Raw genomic sequence first — 24,829 nt, 5'->3', positions numbered from 1 at the left:
AGCTACTCGGGTGGCTGAGGCAGGAGAATCACTTGAGCCTGGGAGGCGCAGGTTGCGGTGAGCCGAAATCACACCACTGCACTCCAGCCTGGGTGACAGAGCAAGACTCTGTCTCAAAAAAATATATAAAATAAAATAAAACGGGCAACTTTTCTGTTGGTCACACACGACAGCAGCTCTTTGTGAAGTGGCTGGAATGACAGAAAGATGAGTTTGCTATCCTGTTCCATGTGCCCAGTCTTGCATCAAATTAAAGTTCTCCCCCTGGTCAAATGACCTTTCCATGAAACAACTCCTGGGCCCACAAAAAAGTAGACAGCCCCGGGAAAGAGTATATTCTGCAAAGTTATAAATAGTGGTCACTGTTAAGGGAGGAGTATAATTTTAAAAAATGCTTAGCGTGTTGCTTTAGGGGCACAGGTAAGAAATTAACACGTCCTCTTTATGTTCTTCAAAATTGTCATGGAATCCCAGTGGTAAAAAGTAATAACATTGGAACGATAGCTAGGTATGCAATCCACAGTCCTGTGGCGGGTCAAAAAAAAAAAAAAAAAAAGAGAGACACTTTTCCCACCTTGCAAACTTCTTGTGCAGGCTCTTTTCCACAGCTCCTCGGACCACAGACTTCTTTAGTTTCTTTTTTTTTTGTTTTTTTTTTTTTTTTTTTTTTTTTTTGAGACGGAGTCTCGCTCTGTCGCCCAGGCCGGACTGCGGACTGCAGTGGCGCAATCTCGGCTCACTGCAAGCTCCGCTTCCCGGGTTCACGCCATTCTCCTGCCTCAGCCTCCCGAGTAGCTGGGACTACAGGCGCCCGCCACCGCGCCCGGCTAATTTTTTGTATTTTTAGTAGAGACGGGGTTTCACCTTGTTAGCCAGGATGGTCTCGATCTCCTGACCTCATGATCCACCCGCCTCGGCCTCCCAAAGTGCTGGGATTACAGGCGTGAGCCACCGCGCCCGGCGACTTCTTTAGTTTCTGACTTAACACAAGAAGACCTGAAATCCTTTGCGGCACAGGGTTTCTGCCAAAGCCATCTTCTTTTATTTTAATGTTTGATTTTAGAAAAACATTATCTTAGCAAGTCGAAAAATGTTTCCCTGTGAATGACGCTGGCGGTGAAAGCTGATGGACAGCACACAGACGAAGCTCACAAAAGAACTCTTAGTAGCCCTCCTCCAGCTAATGGCCACCAGCTAGACAGATACACAGACACACTTGCAAGTCTGATCACACCTGCTTTCTCAAACTTGTCACCACAGTCCTCTGGCTTTTTTTTTTTTTTTTTTTTTTGGACAGGGTCTCACTTTGTCACCCAGGCTGGAGTGCAGTGGCACGATCACAGCTCACCACAGCCTTGACCTCTCAGGCTCAAGCAATCCTCTCACCCCAGCCTCCCAAGTAGCTGGGACTACAGGCAAGCGCCAACACGCCCGGCTAACTTTTGTCTTTTTTGTAGAGGTGGGGGTCTCACTATGTTGCCCAGGCTGGTCTTGAACTTCTGAGCTCAAGCAATCCTCCCACCTCGGCCTCCCAATGTGCTGGGATTACAGGTGTGAACCACTGCGCCTGGTCCTCTGTCACTTTATATAAAGAAATGGTGGAACATCAGATGCAGAAATGTTGAGATATGATGATGATGATGATGATGATGATGATTTGAGACAGGGTCTCACTCTATCACCTAGGCTGGAGTGCAGTGTTGCAATATCGGCTCACTGCAACCCCCGCCTCACAGGTTCAAGCAATTCTCCTGCCTCAACCTCCTGAGGAGCTGGGATTACAGGTGCACGCCACCATGCCAGGCTAATTTTTTGTATTTTTTTAGTAGAGACAGGGTTTCACCATGCTGGCCAGGCTGGTCTTGAACTCCTCACCTCAAGTGATCCACCCGCCTTGGTCTCCAGGAGTGTCGGGATTACAGGCATGAGCCACCGCACCTGGCTGAGATCTGATATGTTTTTGTATTAGGGTGAAAAGCAAAAAAAAAATTATAAATTGCTGCAAAGGTTCCATCTGATTCATAAAATGCCAATACCTGTTGAGTGATGAAATACGTAACCTAGGTGGCATAGACGTGCACCGAGGCGGTGGGGCAGTGCGTCCATGTGCCAGGCATCCCCCCAACCCCAGCACACGCAGATACTAGTCATGTGTGCTGCCACCCCCTTCAGGAGCACCTCGTAAAACACTAGAATAGGAACTGCTGTGAGAGCACAGCTTTGGGGAGTGATTTTATGATATAAACAAGGAAATTAATATATTCTGAATTCTTCTTTAGGGTCACTTGCCCCTGAAATCCTTTACTGCAGTTTGTCAGAAAGATGGATCTTGGGACCGGCCAATGCCCGCGTGCAGCAGTACGGTCGTGTGGTGACTACAGGCCCCATAACCGCCCGGAACTCCCTCTGCTGCTACTGTTGCTGCTTCTATTGCTTCTCTGGTTTTCTGTTTACTTTCTTTTTTCTTTCCCTTTTTTTTTTTTTTCTGAGACAGGGTCTTGCTCTGTTGCCCAGACTGGAGTGCAGCGGTGTGATCTCGGCTCACTGCAATTTCTATCTTTCCAGGCTTAAGCAATCCTCCTGCCTCAGCCTCCTGAGTAGCTGGGACCACAGGCACCTGACACCACGCCTGGCTAATTTTTGTATTATTTGTAGAGACAGAGTTTTGCCATGTTGCCCAGGCTGGTCTCGAACTCCTGACCTCAAGTGATCCACCGGTCTCAGCCTCCCAAAGTGCTAAGATTACAGGCGTGAGCCACTGTGCCCGGATCCTTGGTTTTTTTTTTTTAATGATCCATTTATCAGCCCTTGAATTTCAAATTTGCTTCTTTTTACTCATCTCTCAGTGCATTCTTAGAGGTTAAAACAGAACCAACCTACTAGGGAAGGTATGTGCTTTAGAAAAATATGTTCTTTGACAAGGTTTTTTTTTTTTTTTTTTTCTGAGAAGGGTCTCATTCTGTTGCCCAGGCTGGAGTACAGTGGTACAATCTCAGATCACTGCAACCTCTGTCTCCTGGGTTCAAGCGATTCTCCCACGTCAGCTACCCCCAGGAGCTGGGAGGCACTACCAGCACATGTCACTACACCCGGCTAATTTTTGTATTTTTAGTAGAGATGGGGTTTCACCATGTTGGCCAGGCTGATCTCGAACTCCTGACCTCAGGTGATCTGCCCACCTGGGCCTCCCAAAGTGTGTGAGAGAGAGAGAGAGAGAGAGTGTGTGTGTGTGTGTGTGTGTGTGTGTGTGTGTGTGTGTCGGAGTCTCACTCTGTCACCCAGGCTGGAGTGCGGTGACAATCTCGGCTCACTGCAACCTCTGCCTCCCGGGTTCAAGAGATTCTCATGCCTCAGCCTCCTGAGTAGCTAGGATTACAGGCACATGCCACCACGCACGGCTAATTTTTGTATTTTTTTGGTAAAGACGAGGTTTCACCATGTTGGCCAGGCTGGTCTCAAACTCCTGACGTCAAGTGATCTGCCCGCCTCAGGCTTCCAAAGTGTGTTCTTTGACAATATTTTTTTCTTTTTTTTCTTTTTGGAGACGGAGTCTCACTCTGTTGCCCAGGCTGGAGTGCGGTGGTGCAATCTTGGCTCACTGCAACCTCTGCCTGCTGAGTTCAAGCAATTCTCCTGCCTCAGCTTCCTGAGTAGCTGAGACTACAGGCACACACCGCCACACCTGGCTAAGTTTTTGTATTTTAGTAGAGATGGTATTTCACCGTGCTGCCCAAGCTGGTCTTGAACTCCTGAGCTCAGGCAACCCACCTGCCTCGGCCTCCCAAAGCGCTAGTAGTACAGGCATGAGCCACAGCGCCCAGCCTGACAATATTTTTTTCTTTTTCTTTTTTTTTTTGGAGACGCAGTTTTGTTCTTGTTGCCCAGGCTGGAGTACAATGGCGTGATCTTGGCTCACCGCAACCTCTGCCTCCCAGGTTCAAGCGATTCTCCTGCCTCAGCCTCCCTAGTAGCTGGGATTACAGGCATGTGCTACCACGCCCGGCTAATTTTGTATTTTTAGTAGAGACGGGGTTTCTCCATGTTGGTCAGGCTGGTCTCGAACTCCCGCCCTCAGGGGATCCACCCACCTTGGCTTCCCAAAGTGCTGGGATTACACGCATGAGCCACCGCGCCCGGCCGACAATATTTTTCTAAGTATGAAAGCAACAATATTCATGGTAGAAGATGGAAAATACAGAAAATTATGAACATCTTAATACCTGTAATACCACCATATGCAAGTATAATCATTACTTTTTAATATTTATTTATTTTTTGAGACGGAGTCTTGTTCTGTCACCCAGGCTGGAGTGGAGTGGCGCCATCTCGGCTCACTGCAACCTCCTTCTCCCGGGTTCAAGTAATTATCCTGCCTCAGCCTCCCAAATAGCTGGGATTACAAGCACTTCCCACCAAGCCCAGCTAATTTTTCTATTTTTAGTAGAGACGAGGTTTCACCATGTTGGCCAGGCTGGTCTTGAACTCCTGACTTCAAGTGATCCACCTGCCTTGGCCTCCCAAAGTGTTGGGATTACAGGCGTGAGCCACCGTGACCAGCCACTTTTTTTTTTTTTTTTGACGGGGTCTCATTCTGTCACCCAGGCTGGAGTGCAGTGGCACAATCTCGACTCACTGAAACCTCTGCCTCCTGGGTTCAAGCAATTCTCCTGCTTCAGCTTCCCCAGTAGCCGGGATTACAGGCGCCCGCCACCACACCCAGTAATTTTTTTAGTTTTAGTAGAGGCAGGGTTTCACCATGTTGCCCAGGCTTGTCTCCAACTCCTAATCTCAAGTGATCCACCCACCTTGGCCTCCCAAAGTGCTGCAATTACAGGTGTGAGCCACCAGGCCCGGCCTAATCGTTACCGTTTTGGTGTGTGTCCCTCCAATTACACACAATTCACATGTGTGAGCAAGTATACACTATTGTATGTAGAAAAGGGGGGCAATTTTATGTGGTAATACACACACCCCAAACTGGGATAATGATCAACCATACCTCATGTGACACACCCTCAAACTCCCGGGCTCAAGTGATCCTCCTGTCTCAGCCTCCTCAGTAGCTTGGACTACAGGCACGTGCCACATACCCAGCTCCTTTTAAATTTTTGGTAGAGATGGGGTCTCACTATGTTGCCCAGGCTGCCCTGGCCTCTCTTGAGTGCTGGGATTACACGTGTGAGCCGTGCCCAGTGAGCTTTAGAAAGACTTCCAGGTCTTTCTAAAAACTTCAATTTATTAAAAGGATCAGAAGAATAAGCTGAATTTTTTGTTTTGGAGACAAAGTCTCTATCACCCAGGCGGTAGTGCAGTGGTGTGATCATAGCTCACTGCGGCCTCATCCTCCCAGGCTCAAGCCATCCTCCTGCTTCAGCCTCCTGAGTAGCTGAGACCACGCCACCAAGCCCAGCCAATTTACCTTTTGTAGAGAGGGTTTCGCTATTGCCCAGACTGGTCCTGAACTCCTGGTCTCAAGTGACCCTCCCACTTTGGCCTCCCAAAATGCTGATTACAGGTTTGAACCACCGAGCCCAGCTCCTCCAATCTTACTATCGTGTCCTTTTCTACCCTTACTGCCTTCTAAATTGCAACCTTTTACATTGAACCTGTGCCATGTCATGTGCTGTTCCGCTGCAGCCTTTTTTTTTTTTTTTTTTAAGACAGAGTCTTGCTCTGTCACCCAGGCTGGAGTGAAGTGGTGCCATCTTGGCTCTCTGCAAGCTCCGCCTCCCGGGTTCATGCCATTCTCCTGCCTCAGCCTCCCGAGTAGCTGGGACTACAGGCGCCCGCTACCACGCCTGGCTAATTTTTTTTTTTTGTATTTTTAGTAGAGACGGGGTTTCACCGTGTTAGCCAGGATGGTCTCCATCTCCTGACCTTGTGATCTGCCCGCCTCGGCCTCCCAAAGTGCCGGGATTACAGGCATGAGCCATCGCGCCCGGCCGCAGATCTTTCTTATATTTGACATGAGGGTGCTAAGGAGCTCTGGGTGGTTTCAAATTCCCTTTCTCTAGGAAAGGCAGCACACCTCTTCCTCCACATGGACGACTCCCCCTCAGTTCAGCCATTTAGTTACCTCCCACCTCAGCCTCTCAAGTAATTGGGACAACAGGCACGTGCCACCATGCTCGGCTTTTTAACCTTTCGTAGAGAGGGGGTCTTGCCATGTTGCCCAGGCTGGTCTCAAACTCCTGAGCTCAAGGGATTTGCCCGCCTCAGCCTCCCAAAGGTGCTTCTCCAGACCTTTGGAAAGTTAGCACTGAAATGATCAATGGATTCCTCCCTCCCATGCTTCTTTCTTAGTTGTTGACTGTGGCCCTCCTGATGATCTACCCAGTGGCCGAGTGGAGTACATCACAGGTCCTGGAGTGACCACCTACAAAGCTGTGATTCAGTACAGCTGTGAAGAGACCTTCTACACAATGAAAGTGAATGATGGTATGCAAATTCTTCAAAGTTGGGGGTGGGCAATACTTGGAACTTGAGCCCCCATGGTCTGAAAATAAACTTTAACCAACATTTTTGGCTAAGGCTAGACAAAAGATTAAAAGCCACTTCTCCCATCCGCTAAGTGAAATATTATAGCTAAAGTGACTTTAATGTCAATTTGCAAAAATCTGAAAACAGATCTAGTAAATGACTACTACAAACACACAATGTATTCCAAATGGTTTAATTTAACAAGTCAACACCTTATCATTAAGCACTTGAGATCTTGATACATATTCAAGTTACACATCTAAAAGGTTTCCACTTTGCAAGCAAACATGGTAATGCAGAGACCTCCTATTTATGAAATCATGTAAAATGGTTCTTCAGACACCTCTATGTCCCACTGATGCTCAAGAATCAACATTTTTCAAGGGGGTATTCAAGCAAATGACAACCATCTTATACATGCAGTTAAACATTTTTGCTTTTCCAATGATTTGCAGGTAAATATGTGTGTGAGGCTGATGGATTCTGGACGAGCTCCAAAGGAGAAAAATCACTCCCAGTCTGTGAGCCTGGTAATGGATACATTTATACAAGAGACTGGTAATTGATGGAAAGGAGGACTGGGTAGGAGACAGTGAGGAGAGCTTTAGCTGTGGTAGGCAGAAATGTAACTTCAGCACTTGGCTCTTAGGCTGTTATTATTTCCAAATAGTATGTTCTCATTACCCCCTTCCCATATACAGAGGTTGTTAGGTGCTGACTGCATCAGTCATTTGATTCTCTTTGACCTTATAACTAGGCAAGCATAAAAAATTAAATGATTTTTAGGCCAGGTGTGGCTCACGCCTGTAATCCCAGCACTTTGGGAGGCCGAGGCAGGTGGGTCACCTGAGGCCAGCCTGACCAGCATGGAGAAACCCCGTCTCTAATAAAAATACAAAATTAGCCGGGTGTGGTGGTACATGCCTGTAATCCCAGCTACTCGAGCGGCTGAGGCAGAATTGCTTGAACCCAGGTGGTGGAGGTTGCGGTGAGCCCAGATCGCACCATTATACTCTAGCCTGGGCAACAGTAGTGAAATTCCATATCCAAAAAAAAAAAAAAAAAAAAAAAGATTTTAAAAATTATCTTGACCAACTTATACATTTATAAACACAAGTTCTTCTGTTGAGTTACTATTCTATGTTAAAATGCTATTAAAACCCAAAGCAAATAATTTCCCCAAGCAATTGTTTTCAACATCTAGTTTTTAAACATCAATGCAATCTGCCTTTTAATAGTACTTTTTTTTTTAACCAGAATTGGCTCCAAAGATAATAGTTGAGTAGAATTATTATTATTATTTTTTGAGACGGAATCTCGCTCTCTTGCCAGGTTGGAGTGCAGTGGCGCAATCTCGGCTCACTGCAACCTCCCCCTCTGTAGAATGATTTAAAAAAACAAATCAGGGCCAGGCATGGTGGCTCACGCCTGTAATCCCAGCACTTTGGGAGGCCAAGGCGGAAAGATCACGAGGTCAGGAGATCGAGACCATCTTGGCCAACATGGTGAAACTCCGTCTCTACTAAAAAAAAAAAAATACAAAAAATTAGCCTGGTGTGGTGGCAGGCGCCTGTAGTCCCAGCTACTCGGGAGGCTGAGGCAAGAGAATGGCGTGAACCCGGGAGGTGGAGCTTGCAGTGAGCCAAGATTGCGCCACTGCACTCCAGCCTGGGCAACAGAGCGAGACTCTGTCTCAAAAAAAAAGAGAAAAAGAAAAAAAAAGTCAGCACTTTGGGAGGCTGAGGCGGGCAGATCGTGAGGTCAGGAGATCAAGACCAGTCTGGCTAAAACGGTGAAACCCCATCTCTATTAAAAATACAAAAAATTAGCCAGGTGTGGTGGCGTGTGCCTGTAGTCCCAGCTACTCAGGAGGCTGAGGCAGGAGAATGGCATGAACCTGGGAGGCAGAGCTTGCAGTGAGCCAAGATTGTACCACTGCACTCCAACCTGGGTGACAGAGCGAGACTCTGTCTCAAAAAAAAAAAAAAAAAAAAAAAAAGAAAAAAAACCCAGAAAGATAGTAATATATTAATTACCCTTGTGTTATTTGGCTCAAATTAGTTTTTTTAAACCTGTATTTGGCTAACACAACGTCTGTAGGTATTAATGCAAGTACACTACCACAACAGCAAACATATATGCTACATTAATGGGCGTATTTAATTTGCAATAAAGATACAATAAAACTTAGTTTGGAAGAATCAACTAGACCAAAAATAAAATTTTGGAATCCACAGGGTCCTAGCCACAACTGCAACATTCTAATTTCTAAAACATTTGTATGTTCAAAGGTAAAAGTAATTTTGCAAATCCTGATACTGACTTTAGTTCCTGCTTTCCTAGGATTACATAAATACCCATTTTACAAGTAGGAAAACAGAAACAATGAAAAGGTTATATCCTTCTAATTCCTATGCACATCATCCAGTCCATCTGCTCAGACAATGCCTGCTTGCCCTGTTAATTTTCCTAATCTCCTTTTTTTTTTGAGATGGAGTTTTGCTCTTACCAGGCTAGAGTGCAGTGGTGTGACTTGTCTTACTGCAACCTCCGCCTCCCAGGTTCAAGCAACTCTCCTGCCTCAGCCTCCCAAGTGGCTGGGATTACAGGTGCCCATCACCACGCCCGGCTAATTTTTGTGTATGTAGTAGAGACAGGGTCTCACCATGTTGGCCAGGCTGGTCTCAAACTCCTGACCTCAGGTGATCCACCCATCTCAGCCTCCCAAAGTGCTGGGATTACAGGTGTGACACTGCACCCGGCCAATTTTCCCAATCTTATAGACCAAATTATTTTAGCAAAACAAAATAACTTCTAAAAGTCAGTTTTCACTAATCTCATTTTCTGAGGAGCTAAGAAATACCAAAAGGTTTTATCAGGTGTTTGAACTGTGATGTTTTAAAATAGCCTCACTTGCCTGTATAGGTAGTCACCCACCAATTCATGTAATATAATTTTTGGTTGACATCAAATATATACTTCAAGGCGGTCATAATTTAAGAAAAACACGATTGACATTTTTACAAAGGCTCTCTACCTATCTGCTTCTTTCTCCAGTTTGTGGACTATCAGCCCGCACAACAGGAGGGCGTATATATGGAGGGCAAAAGGCAAAACCTGGTGATTTTCCTTGGCAAGTCCTGATATTAGGTGGAACCACAGCAGCAGGTGCACTTTTATATGACAACTGGGTCCTAACAGCTGCTCATGCCGTCTATGAGCAAAAACATGATGCATCCGCCCTGGACATTCGAATGGGCACCCTGAAAAGACTATCACCTCATTATACACAAGCCTGGTCTGAAGCTGTTTTTATACATGAAGGTTATACTCATGATGCTGGCTTTGACAATGACATAGCACTGATTAAATTGAATAACAAAGTTGTAATCAATAGCAACATCACGCCTATTTGTCTGCCAAGAAAAGAAGCTGAATCCTTTATGAGGACAGATGACATTGGAACTGCATCTGGATGGGGATTAACCCAAAGGGGTTTTCTTGCTAGAAATCTAATGTATGTCGACATACCGATTGTTGACCATCAAAAATGTACTGCTGCATATGAAAAGCCACCCTATCCAAGGGGAAGTGTAACTGCTAACATGCTTTGTGCTGGCTTAGAAAGTGGGGGCAAGGACAGCTGCAGAGGTGACAGCGGAGGGGCACTGGTGTTTCTAGATAGTGAAACAGAGAGGTGGTTTGTGGGAGGAATAGTGTCCTGGGGTTCCATGAATTGTGGGGAAGCAGGTCAGTATGGAGTCTACACAAAAGTTATTAACTATATTCCCTGGATCGAGAACATAATTAGTGATTTTTAACTTGCGTGTCTGCAGTCAAGGATTCTTCATTTTTAGAAATGCCTGTGAAGACCTTGGCAGCGACGTGGCTCGAGAAGCATTCATCATTACTGTGGACATGGCAGTTGTTGCTCCACCCAAAAAAACAGACTCCAGGTGAGGCTGCTGTCATTTCTCCACTTGCCAGTTTAATTCCAGCCTTACCCATTGACTCAAGGGGACATAAACCACGAGAGTGACAGTCATCTTTGCCCACCCAGTGTAATGTCACTGCTCAAATTACATTTCATTACCTTAAAAAGCCAGTCTCTTTTCATACTGGCTGTTGGCATTTCTGTAAACTGCCTGTCCATGCTCTTTGTTTTTAAACTTGTTCTTATTGATCTCTGTAAGTGCTTTATATATTATGGCAGTACTGATTGAGGAATAACCTTGAATCCTTTTTTTGGGTAGGTAGGTTGGAAACACTGATACTTCAGCCCAGGTATTGACTAAAATTTCCATGTTAAAAACCAATACTACAGAATGGTGGGATACAATTATTCACTTATCAAATTGTCAGACAAAAGGAACGTGAATAGTAGTACTATTTCACATTGTTAAAGACAACATAAACTTCCCAAGGACTATTTGGCAATACATTTTAAGCAAGACCAGGCATGTTCAGGGAGGGTGGCAGGCCACAGACTGGCAATACATTTCAAAAGCCCTTAAAAAGCATGCATAATCTTTGACCTAGCAATTCCAATGCTAAGAATTTATTTTAGCAGTAAGGATATTCCCAGCAATTGGAAATAACCTGAATAATGTTCAAATTCAGAAGACTGAATCAAAACATGGCATTTCCACAAGATGAAAAGTGGCATTAGAAATAAGTGGTGACATTATAGAGAAATCTGTATTTTTCCTCTTTACAATGAACATGAAATACTTGGGCACAGTGATGCCTAACAAAAGCACACATCACACAACAGTTAAGTACAGAACCCTAATACACACTTAGGGGCTACTTTGCTCATACTCAACAACAACAAAATCATTCTTACTGTTACACATTATCTCTTGGATTACGGAGTAGTTAACTTCCTACTTTTTCCTACTAAGGACACAACTTAAGTGCTGATTTAACTTTAAAAATCTCATTTGGTTTTAGCTGGCTATTCCTTCCTAAAAGGTTTTAATAGCTAACATTCAAGTTTTTCAGTCTAACTAAAAGTTACCATTCCATGTAAAAGCTTACTGTGAGTCTTGGCCTCATTTCTCTTGTGCATATGAAGTACAACTTCTTGAGACTCAATTTTTATTATTTTCTTTTTTCTTTAGAGACTCAATTTTTAAAGGTAACTTTCCAGCATCTGTATATCACATATAAAAAGAAATCGTGTTTTTCCAGTAAGACTCCAGACACTAAACTGTGGTGTCAAAAAAAAATTTTATTTATCTGGTTCAAAAAATTTTTTAGAATGAATGCATTTAGATTGACCAAATAGATTTTTAAAAACAAATCTTTGCCAAATAGTTTAAGTACTTTTAAACTTCAAAATCTTCTTAGGGTAAAATAAATACCCGTATCTATGCAGTACCATAAACATGTTAATAAAAGGCCACTCAACATTGAAAGCCTTCTATGACCAGTAACTGAAATTTACACAAGTGTAAAGAAGGGATTAAACCATGCCGTTGACAAGTTAACTTACCCCTGGGCTCCTTGAAGGCTTGTCAGTTTAGTCTTTGGAGGTCCCCGAGTACCATTTTAAGTGTTACCATGTTACTGCTGCTGAGTAATAGTGCAAGTGCTAAAATGCAAAATTCAGATGGTACAGGGTTTGGAAATCATGCAGATTCAGATGCAGAAAAAAAAAATTAAAACAACTCAAGATCCCTTTACAGAGGAAACTGAATAATGAAACAATGTGGCGATTACAAGTCTAAAGGATGACTTCATTGATAAATGTTTATGTAACTTGCAAAATGACAAACCTATTTATCATAATCTAATTAGGTAAGGGCATTAGGTAAACTACCAACACAACAAATATCACATTCTTCCAACTAGAAAATGAGCTCAACTCTCACAGAATTAGTTACAAAAAAGTACAACAGAGAATCAATGTTATTGCTTTTACATACTTAACAATGCATTGTGAGAGTGTGAGTTTTGTAAGCGATTTTATTCAACTGTATTCAATGTTACCACATTCCCCCACCTCCTGGAGGACAAAGCCCATTCCACTTAACACTTCCAGACAGACAACCCACCCTAATTCTTAAAGCTATCAGGCCTCTTAATGGATTTCAGGCACAAGATAATTTGTGGTTTCTTCTACTTTATCCCTACTGCAATTAATTCCACTTTTCAAATCCCAAACTAGGAAGGTGCTGATATTCCCTTTTCAATTGATATGCTTTGCTACAAAGCATTAGAAAATAATCAACATTTTGCCCACTCCCCCAAATAAGAATCTTTTTAGAAGGCATGACTTCCCAATGGAGATTTACACAGGCCATGTAAATAGAACATCACCCAAATGCACAGAGGCACTAAGAAAAAGCCGGAGGGTACTGCTTACCATTTTAGGTGCGGTCACCCAGACTTATTCAAAACTAGATTTCAAAAGAAAAAAAAAAATTTTCACTTTGGCCAATGCAAGAACAAATACCAATTAAGTCTGGGTATCAGGTGTCAATGCATGACAGGTGATGAATCCATTTGACTTGAGACAACTTTTCAAATAAGTTTATTTGAAGCAAAATAAACTACTGCCAAGAAACTTTATGAAAGTTCCATCTCAAAAGGGTCAAAAAAGGGGAATTAACTGCTATGAATTCTTTGCATTCAGGGCTGCAAAACAAAGACACATATTATTTAAATCAGTTTTATTTAAGAATTTCCAACAATGACAACTCTTATAAAAAGCATCCAAGCACAGGACACAGAACTGCAGCAAACAGCATTCTTATGGGTAGCTAACAGACATTAGAACTTCCACCCTTCTTTGAGACACCTGAGCTCACTGGTGAACTCTGCTTCAAGTCCTCCTGCAAAGCACACCACAAGCTCAGTCCATGTTCTCAGCCCATCAGCTTCAGTTCACATTGCCACACTTACATATCAGTAACAGAAGAGAACACACACCATACAGCATTCACAGCAGTTGACAAAGGGGTAGGGGGAGTACAAGTATCATTTCACTTAACACATTCATCTAATGTGGGTTATCTAAGAACAAAAACTCACTTAAAAGTCTTCCAACAGATGTGGATGTCCTTTGAATGCAAAAAACATTCGTACATTATTTGCTATCATTGCTCTCTGCACACTCTCTCACCAAAGCCACAGGATTGAGAGACACATCTCGCCAAGTTAAAAAATATCCATTATGCACCACCAAGTCTCTGCACGCGCTCTCTCCTTTTCTCGCTCATACTAGCCTTTCATGCCTCGGCACCACCATCAATCCCACACAAGGTTTCAAAAGTTCAGACAGCCTTCTGGTTCCATATCACAGCCTTGCGTTCATAGCGTTGATACGACTCCATGAAATAAAGAGTAGCGGATAAAAATGGGACACCCACCGTCAAAGACGCGGCCTGTGATGCGTGATGACGAATTCTTGAATGAGAAAGCATGTAGACAGTATTCCTATGGCAGAATATTTACAGCACTACTTTCAATGAAGTGCTTCTTCCATAAACATTTGAAATGAGATGAACTGCAGAGATTAAATGAAGGCTTCATATTGTACTTTTGTGTATGAGGGGAGACAAGTGTTAAAAAACAAAACAAAAGAACCAAACACTGTGACACCATGATCTCCTAAAAGGAGATTTTCTTAAGGAAAAAAATCCATATGGTGGGGTTCAAATTAAAACAAGGGGTAAAGAATGTAGTTCTAATCAATGGTTTCCGTTTTGAACATGCAAAGAATTCACTTGACAAGTCCAGGGATAAAATATTACAGGAGAAACCTTTTGATATCAATTGTAGTGTGTTGGTTTACCAATCAGGCAAACAGCAGTTCACTTTCAACCACTCAATATTTCAACCTTTCATGTAACAAAACTTATAAAATTCCTTTAGCTCTTCCTTTTTCTAAAGAAAAATGTCAAAAATACTGCTGAATATACTCCACACTGAACAAACCAATTTTGAAAATTCTTAGTACATATGTATTTTACAATATACTTACCATGAGTTTAGAAAAATTTGAATTCCCACCATTCTATACCAACCAACCACAACCCCACTGTCTACATTCCCCAGCCAGAAGACTTAGAATCCATGCTTGAGCCAAAGCCTCCATTAAAACCACTGCCCGACCCTGCATTGGATGCTGATCCCCAACCAATTGCTGCACCAGAATTAGAGCCACTATAAGAGTTATTTCCAGAACCGAAGGCCTGGTTTGGCTCCCTCTGCATGTTGCCTTGGTTTTGGTTATTACCCGATGGGCCTGACTGGTTCTGCTGGCTGGCTAACATGCCCATCATACCCCAACTGCTCTGTAGTGCTGCCTGGGCGGCAGCCATCATGGCTGGATTAATGCTGAACGCACCAAAGTTCATCCCACCACCCATATTACTACCTTGATTGTTTCCCAAACCAGCTCCACCCCCTCTGCTATTACCAAATCCACCCTGATTCCCAAAGCCACCTGGATTACCACCAAATCTTCCACTTCTTTCTAACTGTCTATTGCTATTGTGCTTAGGTTCGGCATTGGATATATGAACGCTGATTCCTTTAATGATCAAGTCCTCTCCACAAAGAGACTGCGCAATCTATAAGAAATAAGGGATGTAAACAAAGAAGATTAAACCACTGATTCATATATTTAAAGTAGCAACAAAACTTAGATTACAAGCATTAATTTATCTAAAGCCAGAGGAAAAATAAGCAATGAACACTCATTTCATTTAAACCCCCAATACAGCTTTTAGTTTTATTAACAGCAGCAGTGATATTTCAGTCGATTTTCAAAAGACATAGGCTGGGCATGGTGGCTCATGCCTGTAATCCTAGCGCTTTGGGAGGCCAAGGTGGGAGGACTGTGTGAGGCCAATAGTTCAAGACTAGCCTGGCAGCCTAGACAACACAGGGAGACCCCACCTCTATCAAAAAAAACCACAAAAAAGCCACATTAGCTGGGCGTAGTGGCATGCATCTGTCCTAGCTACTTGGGAGGCTGAAGCTGGAGGATCCTCCCCCTGGAGGCTGAGCCCAGGAGTTCTAGGGTGTAGTGAGCTATGATTACACCACTGTGTTCCACCAGCCTGGGCAACAGAGTGAGACCCTGTCTCAAAATAATAATTTAAAAAATGGGCCGGGAGCAGGAGCAGTGGCTCACGCCTGTAATCCCAGCACTTTGGGAGGCTGAGGGGGGTGGATCACCTGAGGTCAGGAGTTCAAGACCAGCCAGATCAAAACAGTGAAACCCCGTTATCTACTAAAGATACAAAAAACTGGCCAGGCGTGGTGGCTCATGCCTGTAATCCCAGCACTTTGGGAGGCTGAGATGGGCAGATCACCTGAGGTCAGGAGTTCGAGACCAGCCTGGCCAACATGGTGAAACCCTGTCTCTACTAAAAGCACAAAAAAATCAGCCAGGCGTGGTGGCAGGCACCTGTAATCCCAGCTACTCAGGAGGCTGAGCCAAGACAATCGCTTGAACCCATGAGGTGGAGGATGCAGCGAGCCAAGATCGCGCCATCACACTCCAGCCCGGGCAACAAGAGCAAAACTCTGTCTCAAAAAAAAAAAAAAAGTATATAACATTCCCAAATGCCACATACTGAAAATTATCTAAAGGCATATTTACTTTTAGATTTCTTAAAATGTTGTATTTGTGATATCAGATACAGGTATCACAAACATCTAGGCCCATACACCCTACGTCTTACAAGGTCAGAAAACTTAGCTAAGAATAGCAATTAGCTGCATGGGCAATGTTCAAGAGAAATTACCTAATTACCTGGGACATATTTTTTTTTTTGAGACAGAGTCTCACTCTGTCACTGGGCTGGAATGCAGTGGTGTGATCTCAGTTCACTGCCACCTCCGCCTCCTGGGTTCAAGCGATTCCCCTGCCTCAGGCTCCAGAGTAGCTGGGACCACAGGCGTGCACCACCACACCGAGCTATTTTTTTTTTTTTTTGTATTTTAATAGAGACGGGGTTTCACCATGTTGGCCAGGATGGTCTTGATCTCCTGACCTCGTGATCCACCCGCCTCGGCCTCCAAAGTGCTGGGATTGTAAGCATGAGCCACCACGCCCGGCCGGGACATATCGTTAAGGAGAAAAATACCTGATCATCTGCAAATGTAACAAAGGCAAAGGCCCTGAATGGCTTGGGGATGAAGACATCCATCACATCCCCGTACTGAGAGAAGAACTCCCGCAGCTCATCCTCAGTCATGTCCTCTGTACAGCGCCCCACAAACACTTTTCTGCTTCTCAAAGGCTCATCTTGGCTTTGCTGATCAAATCAAAAGGAAGAAAAAAACTCAGAAATATGTTATGAACAATGAAAAAAACATTAAGGTAAGGGATATAACAAAATCATTCGCCTTGGATAGCAGTGAACCATTAAAAAGTAGACGTACCCTTAATTTTTTCCATCAGCATTTCTTTTTCTTGTAAGGCTTCAGTGAAGAGTAACGTTTTAAGTTACAAAAGTACACAGTCATGCATCACATAATGATGGATATAAATACATCATGAGCCATTACACAATTTCATCATCGTGGCCAGGTGTGGTGGCTGACACCTGTAATCCCAGCACTTTGAGAGGCCGAGGCGGGTGGATCACTTGAGGTCAGGAGTTCAAACCAGCCTGGTCAACATGGTGAAACCCCACCTCTACTAATACAAAAATCAGCCGGGTGTGGTGGCAGGCACCTGTAATCCCAGCATCTTGGGAGGCTGAGGTAGGAGAATCACTTGAACCCGGAAGAGGAGGTTGCAGTGAGCCAAGATTGCACCATTGCACTCCAGCCTGAGCAATAAGAGTGAAACTCCATCTCAAAAAAAAAAAAAAAGGGCCAGGTGCGGTGGCTCACACCTGTAATCCCAGCACTTTGGGAGCCCGAGATGGGCGGATCATGAAGTCAGGAGATCAAGACCATCCTGGCTAACACGGTGAAACCCCATCTCTACTAAAAATACAAAAAATTAGCCAGGCGTGTTGGTGGGCACCTGTAGTCCCAGCTACTCGGCAGGCTGAGGCAGGAGAACGACGTGAACCCGGGAGGCAGAGCTTGCAGTGAGCTGAGATTGCACCACTGCACTCCAGCCCGGATGACAGAGTGAGACTCTCTCTCTCAAAAAAAAAAAGTCGTTGTGCAAACATCATATAAACCCAGATAGCATAGCCTACCCCACATCTAGGCTAGATGGTATAGCCTATTGCTCCCAGGCCACAAACTTTCAAGTTACTGTACTCAACACTGTAGGCGACTATAACATGATGGTAAGTATTTGTGTATCTAAACATAGAAAGGGTACAGTAAAAACAGTGTTATAATCCTATGGGACCACTGCTGTACACGAGGTCTGCTGCTGACTGATCAACTTTGCCATGTGATACATGACTGTGTTTGGATTTGAGAAAATTAATAAATAAGCAATCTCTTGGCAAAGATGATGATGTTCCAAATAAGCCAATGTTATTTGTTTGCTTGGAAAAAGTTAGGTCTTTATAACAATTAATGTATGTATTCTGATTCTCTTTATGTTTTAACATATAACTATGTAAGAAACTATTAACTTGACAAATAACCTTTTCTCTTTTCCATCCATAGCGAAAAGGAAGAACAAAATGAACAAAGGTTTAGTTTGGAGAAGTAATAAACTAAATATTTCAAACAAGCATAAAATATTCAGCATGCACTAAGGGCCAAAGACTTCAACAAGACAAAAGGATTTCATGAACACACCCTGCCGCTATCTTTTCTAAGTGTGTTTAACATTTTATCTTACAATCCTCTAAGGAAGTTTGTTGGCAAAAATTCCCAAAGCACAGACGCAAGTACCTTAGAATTAGGAAGTTTGCAGTCACACCATCGTCCATCTATCATATGTCGCTGTGACATTACTTTCACTTGTGTTTCATATTCCGTAAAACGAACAAAGCCAAACCCCTTTGAATGACCAGTCTTAAGATCTTTCTTGACCTAGAAAGGATGATACAAGTTTACTCTAAAAGTGCACATACTCACACACTCCATTCCCAAATCATAGTTCCTTAGAAAACAATTTGAATGGTTTCAACTGGATGCAGTGGCTTAAAACTTAAACCAAGTTAGTCTTAACAGTAAAAACAAGGAGGTTAATATTGAATCCATACTGTGTTAACAACAGAGCAAAACTCACTTATACAACAGAAATGTTTTTGAGTTTTTTAAAAAAGAGAGATGGGGCCAGGCGCGGTGGCTCACACCTGTATTCCCAGTGCTTTGGGATGCTGAGGAGGGTGGATCGCTTGAGCACAGGAGTTCAGGACCAGCCTGGGCAACACAGCAAAACCCTGTCTCTACAAAAAATACAAAGATTAGCCAGGTGTAGTGGCATGCACCTGTAGTCCCAGCTACTTGGGAGGCTGAGGCACAAGAATAGCTTGAACCCAGGAGGTGGAGGTTGCAGCGAGCCTACATTGCACCACTGCACTCTAGAGCCTGACTGACAGAGCCAGACCCTGTCTCCAAAAAGAAAAGAAAAAAAGAGAGGCCAGGCACAGTAGCTCACGCCTGTAATCCCAGCACTTTGGGAGGCGGAGGCGGGCAGATCATGAGGTCAGGAGATCGAGACCATCCTGCCTAACACGGTGAAACCCCATCTCTACTAAAAATACAAAAAATTAGCCAGGCGTGGTGGCAGGCACCTGTAGTCCCAGCTACTTGGGAGGCTGAGGCAGGAGAATGGCATGAACCCGGGAAGCGGAGCTTGCAGTGAGCCGAGATCATGCCACTGCACTCCAGCCTGGGTGACAGAGCAAGACTCCGTCTCAAAAAAAAAAGAAAAAAGAGAAACTGAGTCTGGATATGTTCGCCAAGGTGGCCTTGAACTCCTGGCCTCAAGCAACCCTCCCACCTCAGCCTCCCAAAATGCTGGGATTACAGGCATGAGCCACCACAACAGGATTTTAACAGAATGTCTTAGAATGAATTCAAAGATAAACTAAATTTAATGTTTACAAATTTTAAATGAAATGGAAAAACCTCCCATTAGTTTAATATATAAAGAAAAGCTATTGTCACCTACTTCCCTTAAGCCTTCATGCAACAGTAGGATTTTACAATATCAAAGGCAATAACATAGGGTACAACATATATGTATAAATATAACAAATATTGGAAGTATCATCTGTGTAACAGAAAGGACAGTGCCATTAAAATAACAAGAATGTGGCCGGGCGCGGTGGCTCACACCTGTAATCCCAGCACTTTGGGAGGCCAAGGCAGGTGGATCACTTGAGGTCAGGAGTTCAAGAACAGCCTGGCCAACGGGTGAAACCCTGTCTCTACTAAAAATACAAAATTAGCCAGGCATGATGGCGGGCACCTGTAATCCCAGATACAGGAGGCCGAGACAGGAGAAATCACTTAAACCCGGGAGGTGGAGGTTGCAGTGAGCCAAGATCGTGCCACTGCACTCCAGCCTGGGCAGCAAAGTGAGACTTGGTCTCCAAAAAAAAAAAAAAAAAAGAAAGGTAACAAGATTGTGGCTGGGCATGGTGGCTCAGCACATTGGGGTCGAGGCAGGAGGACAGTATGGGCCCAGGAGTTTGACGCCAGAACCTAGGGAACATAGTGATACCCCATCTCTATTTATACCAATAAATAAATGCTAGATACTCATTCACTGGTAAAGAAAAACTGTTTGATGCAATCGAAGTTTACCTGCACCATAAGAACTTCTCCAAAGGTACTAAAATACTCTTTCAGGTCCTGTTCGGTTGTTTTCCATGGGAGACCCAACACTATTAAATCGGATGTTTTCTGGACTGCTCTTTTCACTTTCACTGCTGATGAAGCATCTGTCTCATCCATTTTTCTTTTGTTATCTAAATAAAACGAGCAGAAACCTTTTAGAAATCTTCACTTAGCACTTCTTTAAAAACACTACCTCCTACATCTAGAAATGAGAAGCAAAAAGAAGACTCTAAGAAGAATAAGACACTGAAAACTTGGCAAGAAGTGATGTTTGCTCTAGAGGACAGAATAAAGGCTTAAGTTTAGTGTCTGAGGTGCTTTTCTGGTGCAAATTCAGTGATTTCCAAGTTTGTTTTTTGTAGCATTTCCGGATTACAATCTCTCCCTCTCAAAAGGTTTATCAAAACAAAAATAATTCTACTTCACTTTGACTTTAAATATCAGCAACTTGTATATCCTGATGAAGATTTAACTTTTATCTTTCCTAAACATTCAACAACAAATACACAACTTTTGTAATAAAACAGAAAACCAGGTACAGTGGTGTGTATGCCTGTAAGTTCCAGCAACTCAGGAGGCTGAGGAGGAAGGACGACTTGAGTCCAGGAGTTTGAGGCTGCAGTGTGCCTATGAATAGCCACTGCAATATGCCTGGGCAACAGAGCGAGAGCCTCCATCTCTAATTTCAAAAAAGAAAAAGAAACCAAAAGTTTGGCTTACTTAAAAAAACATAACTGGCTGGGCGCGGTGGCTCACACTTGTAATCCCAGCACTTTGGGAGTCTGAGGCAGGTGGATCACAAGGTCAGGAGTTCAAGACCAGCCTGGCCAAGATGGTGAAACGCCGTCTATACTAAAAATAAAGAAAAAATTAGCCGGGCGTGGTGGCAGGTGCCTGTAATCCCAGCTACTTGGGAGGCTGAGGCAGGAGAATCGCTTGAACCCAAGAGGCGGAGGTTGCAGTGAGCCAAGATCGTGCCACTGCACTCCAGCCTGGGCGACAAGGGCGAGACTTCGTCTAAAAAATAAATAAACAAATAAAAATAAATAAATAAAAATACAAAAATTAGCCAGGCGTGGTGGCAGGCACCTGTAATCCCAGCTACTCATGAGGCTGAGGCAGAGAATTGCTTGAACCTGGGAGGCGGAGGTTGCAGTGAGCCAAGATCGTGCCACTGCACTCCAGCCTGGGCGACAGAGTGAGACTGTCTCAAAAAACAAACAAACAAACAACAACAAAAAAACCCCCCAAATAACCTCAACCTTAGGTTATTTAGAAGAGAAGGGGAGATAATTTTTTTTTTTTGAGACGGAGTCTCATTCTGTCACCTAGGCTGGAGTGCAGTGGCGCAATCTCCCCTCTCTGCAACCTCTGCCTCCCGGGTTCAAGTGATTCTCCTGCCTCAGCCTCCCGAGTAGCTGGGATTACAGATGTGAGCCACCATGTCCAGCCTGGGGAGATAAATTAAATGACATTTAAAAAATTTTTTTTGAGACGGTGTCTCGCTCTGCTGCCAGGCCAGAGAGCAGTGGCACGATCTCAGCTTACTGCAATCTCCACCTCCCGGTTCAAGCAATTCTCCTGCCTCAGCCTCCCAAATAACTGAGACTACAGGCGCGAACCACCACGCCTGGCTAATTTTTGAATTTTTAGTAGAGACAGGGTTTCACCATGTTGGCTAGGGTGGTCTTGAACTTCGGACCTCAGGTGATCTGCTTGCCTCAGCCTCCCAAAGTGCTGGGATTACAGGTGTGAGCCATTGCACCGAGCCTGACATTTTAAATTTGAGTAAATATTAATCTATACCCACTGGCTGAAGAAACAGCATACTAAAAACCCCGAGTTTACATTATCAATTTTTTTTTTTTTTGAGACGAAGTCTTGCTCTGTCACAGGTTGGAGTGTAGCGGCGCGACCTCAGCTTAAAGTAATCTCCGCCTCCCAGGTTCAAGCGATTCTCCTGCCTCAGCCTCCAGACTAGCTGGGACTACAGGCCCCCGCCACCACGCCAATTTTTGTTTTCGTTTTTTTTTGTTTTGAGACGGAGTTTCGCTCTTGTTGCCCAGGCTGGAGTGCAATGGCACAATCTCTGCTCACTGCAACCTCTGCCTCCCGGTTCAAGCGATTCTCCTGCGTCTGCCTCCTGAGTAGCTAGTATTACAGGCACCCACCACCACATCCAGAGATTTTGTGTTTTTGATAGAGATGGGGTTTCATCATGTTGGCCAGGCTCATCTCAAACTCCTGATCTCAGGTGATCCACCTGCCTCGGCCTCCCAAAGTGCTGGGATTACAGGCATGAGTCACCGTGCCTAGCCCTAAAGTTTTCCTAGACATGTAAAAGGGTGTCTTGCATACTGACCAAATTTGATGGACTTTGTTGCAATACCAAGTTATAATAAAAGGAACACACAGACAGATCGACTACTAACAGCACACTACTTCAAAATGCTGAAATTAGGTATTTCCTTGGCACACTTCTTAAACTTCATGCTTCCTTTTCTTAGATTTAGAACATCATTGATAAGAGGCAGAGAGAAGGATAAGACCAGAACCTCGAAATTGTAATTGGAACTGCACTAATTCAAGATTTGGCTACTCCAACTGTTTGCTCATTTAAGGGAAAAAATGAACTCAGATTTGCTGAATGAATGATGTAACACCAAAAGGACAATGATCAAATCCAAACACTGAAGCACTTCAGAAGAATCTATTTACAACAATGATTTATGTACAAAACATTCTTAGTGATTCCTGAAATTTATCATCAACTTGGCAAAGTTTATTCAGATATTTTTTAAATACATTGTTTTCTCTTTTAAAATGATCTACAATCCCCAGTTTCCATAAATTTAGACTCGTGGTCTTCCAAACTTGTCTAACACTGAAGTTCAAGGAAATACTTAAGTTTCAGGAGACATTCTGCCACCAAAAGAGGCTAAGATCCATGGATGAGACACACACCTGAACACACTTCAGCATGATTACAAAAACCAAATGGTAACAAACCTTTTGGATAGTTGACAACATACACCAGATTTCCCCAGCCAGCATCTGGGGCATGCAGAATTCCTTCTACCAGCCGGACACCTCTCATACACTGAGACACTGGATTCCTGTAGCGAAGCCCACACGCCCCTGGAAACTGGGCTGTAACCGTGGAGAGCAGCACCGTCCCATCGTCTTCCGATGGTATTTCAATGGGCTCATCGTTCTCATCTTCGGTTACCCGAATATATTCAGACATCTTTTACTTTTCCTAAAGAGAAAAGAGATATGAATGAACAACATTCATGTCAGAATAACTGTTTCCTTATAATGATAATACCCAAACCATGTCAGAGTTCTGACTTCCAGAAAAATGCTTGTCTGGATTCGTATATGCATTGGTTATCCCTGAAAAATGACGAGGTGAAGGTAAGGGTAGTGATTTCCTATCAAAATGTGATGCCTCGCCAGTTCATTCATTCAAAAAACTTTCCCTGAAGGCTTATGATGCGTCAGGTACTGAAACTGTAACTGTGAGTCCAACGTGGCTTGCTGGTTACAAGCTAGGGTATGCAAGGGAACAATAAACAGTAGCTATTTTATGACAATCGGGTTAGTCGTTAAGTAATCCTGAAGGCAGAGGAGGAGCCTAACTGGCTGAGGCATGGGCGTGATAGGTCCCAGTCGATTTTCCTAAGCAAGCGATCCATCAGCTGAACCTGAAGACTGAATATGGGCAGTGAACCAGGTGTAAAGAACAGGAGAAAAGTTTCCCTCTGTTCCTCATTTTGGGGCTTCCGGGGGCTCTGCGAGCCCGAGCCCCAAGGCCCGCGGCGACAGGTCCTGGCGGTGCCGGCCGTCGCCTCCCAGAAGCCCGCGCGTGCCAGCCGAGGGAGGAGTTTCTCGGCGCGGCCCGGGGTGGGGCGCAGGAGCACCAGGCCCAAGCTGGCAGCGTCCCTCGAAGTACAAAGTACCGAAGGCTCCGGCACTGTCCGGGTCCGGGGCCAACCTCCGCCTCAGGCTACGCGGCACCGCGGGCCCGGCCCCCCGTTTCGGCGCCACCGGCCTCCCCGTGCCAGGACCTAACGACGCTCCCGCGCGAGCCCGCTCGGGCAGGACTAGGCCCGGTCTCACGGCTGACTTCCCGGGGCAGGGTCCGAAGCCGCTGCGTCTGCCTCGGGCCGCCCCAATGCAGAAGCCGAGGCACCTACGGCGTCCTCAGTGAGAAGGCTCCGCGACTCACCCGCTAGGCCGCTGCTGGGAAGCCCGACAGGGACACCGAAGCAGCGACGGACCCAAGCGCAGCCCAGCCACCGCTTCGCTCCCACAAAATGGCGCTAGGGCCGCCTCCTCCCCCCGCCCACCGGCGTCCTCTCCCACCGGTTGCCTGTCCAGAGGTGGAAGGCACCGACGAGAGCCACGATGACCCTCTCCCCAGGGACTCGGGCTGCCTCCTGGAAATTCAAGCCTACAGAGAAGCTCTGAAAGCTAAAATAAAACCAGGACCTAGGCCTGAAAAGCTGAAGATTGAAAAAAGTGTGGCTGTATAGGAGCTGACCTCCCCCCACGTAACGTAGCAGATGGTTTCGGCCGACCAACCGCCGGCCCAGGTCTCGGTCGGAGCTCGCGC

The 24,829-nt window shown here is 44.6% G+C and overlaps 2 protein-coding genes across 10 annotated transcripts in view, besides 4 other annotated features; one reads left to right on the top strand and one right to left on the bottom strand.

Moving 5' to 3' along the window:
• MASP2 (MBL associated serine protease 2) overlaps positions 1 to 10,663 on the top strand; it is a 20,717-nt gene extending 10,054 nt beyond the window's left edge. Inside the window, exons 8-11 of one of the 2 annotated variants that reach the window (NM_006610.4) lie at positions 2,280 to 2,358; positions 6,304 to 6,438; positions 6,936 to 7,010; positions 9,538 to 10,663. In NM_006610.4, the coding sequence (NP_006601.2) occupies positions 2,280 to 2,358; positions 6,304 to 6,438; positions 6,936 to 7,010; positions 9,538 to 10,301 (1,053 nt within the window). In that variant the 3' untranslated portion in view covers positions 10,302 to 10,663. Of the gene's footprint in view, positions 1 to 2,279; positions 2,359 to 6,303; positions 6,439 to 6,935; positions 7,011 to 9,537 lie in introns of those variants that run through there. The other variant, XR_001736931.1, reaches the window with a different exon arrangement.
• On the bottom strand, positions 6,658 to 24,532 carry TARDBP (TAR DNA binding protein). 8 transcript variants are annotated; one of them, XR_007058560.1, is made up of 10 exons: positions 24,443 to 24,532; positions 23,221 to 23,470; positions 20,179 to 20,342; positions 18,313 to 18,453; positions 16,587 to 16,757; positions 13,857 to 15,062; positions 12,851 to 13,122; positions 11,978 to 12,076; positions 11,521 to 11,635; positions 6,658 to 7,499 (listed from the first exon to the last, which is right to left on the bottom strand). XR_007058560.1 is itself a non-coding variant. In NM_007375.4 (6 exons), exons 2-6 carry the CDS (start codon positions 23,456 to 23,458, stop codon positions 14,532 to 14,534), a joined length of 1,245 nt encoding a protein of 414 aa, NP_031401.1. In that variant the 5' UTR covers positions 23,459 to 23,470; positions 24,443 to 24,532; the 3' UTR covers positions 11,694 to 14,531. The 8 variants fall into 8 exon arrangements, 1 of the variants encoding a protein (NP_031401.1); XR_007058562.1 differs by lacking the exon at positions 11,521 to 11,635; XR_007058563.1 differs by lacking the exon at positions 12,851 to 13,122.
• Positions 23,214 to 23,460: a silencer, noted in NCBI's record as "fragment chr1:11073783-11074029 (GRCh37/hg19 assembly coordinates)". NCBI's record gives its function as "represses an EF-1alpha promoter that drives an FKBP-Casp9 reporter gene in an ReSE screen in phorbol 12-myristate 13-acetate-treated (for megakaryocytic differentiation) K562 erythroleukemia cells {active_cell/tissue: K562(+PMA)}" and the evidence as "EXISTENCE:reporter gene assay evidence [ECO:0000049][PMID:32094911]".
• Positions 23,822 to 24,789: an enhancer, noted in NCBI's record as "NANOG-H3K27ac-H3K4me1 hESC enhancer chr1:11072454-11073421 (GRCh37/hg19 assembly coordinates)". NCBI's record gives its function as "activates a minimal SCP1, AML or CMV promoter by ChIP-STARR-seq in primed H9 embryonic stem cells {active_cell/tissue: H9 hESC(primed)}" and the evidence as "EXISTENCE:reporter gene assay evidence [ECO:0000049][PMID:30033119]".
• Positions 23,822 to 24,829: a biological region, named in NCBI's record as "NANOG-H3K27ac-H3K4me1 hESC enhancer GRCh37_chr1:11072454-11073421".
• Positions 24,500 to 24,829: an enhancer, noted in NCBI's record as "active region_158". NCBI's record gives its function as "activates an Ori minimal core promoter by ATAC-STARR-seq in GM12878 lymphoblastoid cells {active_cell/tissue: GM12878}" and the evidence as "EXISTENCE:reporter gene assay evidence [ECO:0000049][PMID:35858748]".

The sequence above is a fragment of the Homo sapiens genome, chromosome 1 (assembly GCF_000001405.40).
Source record: "Homo sapiens chromosome 1, GRCh38.p14 Primary Assembly".
NCBI classification, from domain to species: domain Eukaryota; kingdom Metazoa; phylum Chordata; class Mammalia; order Primates; family Hominidae; genus Homo; species Homo sapiens.
This window is presented reverse-complemented; position numbering and strand designations above follow the sequence as displayed.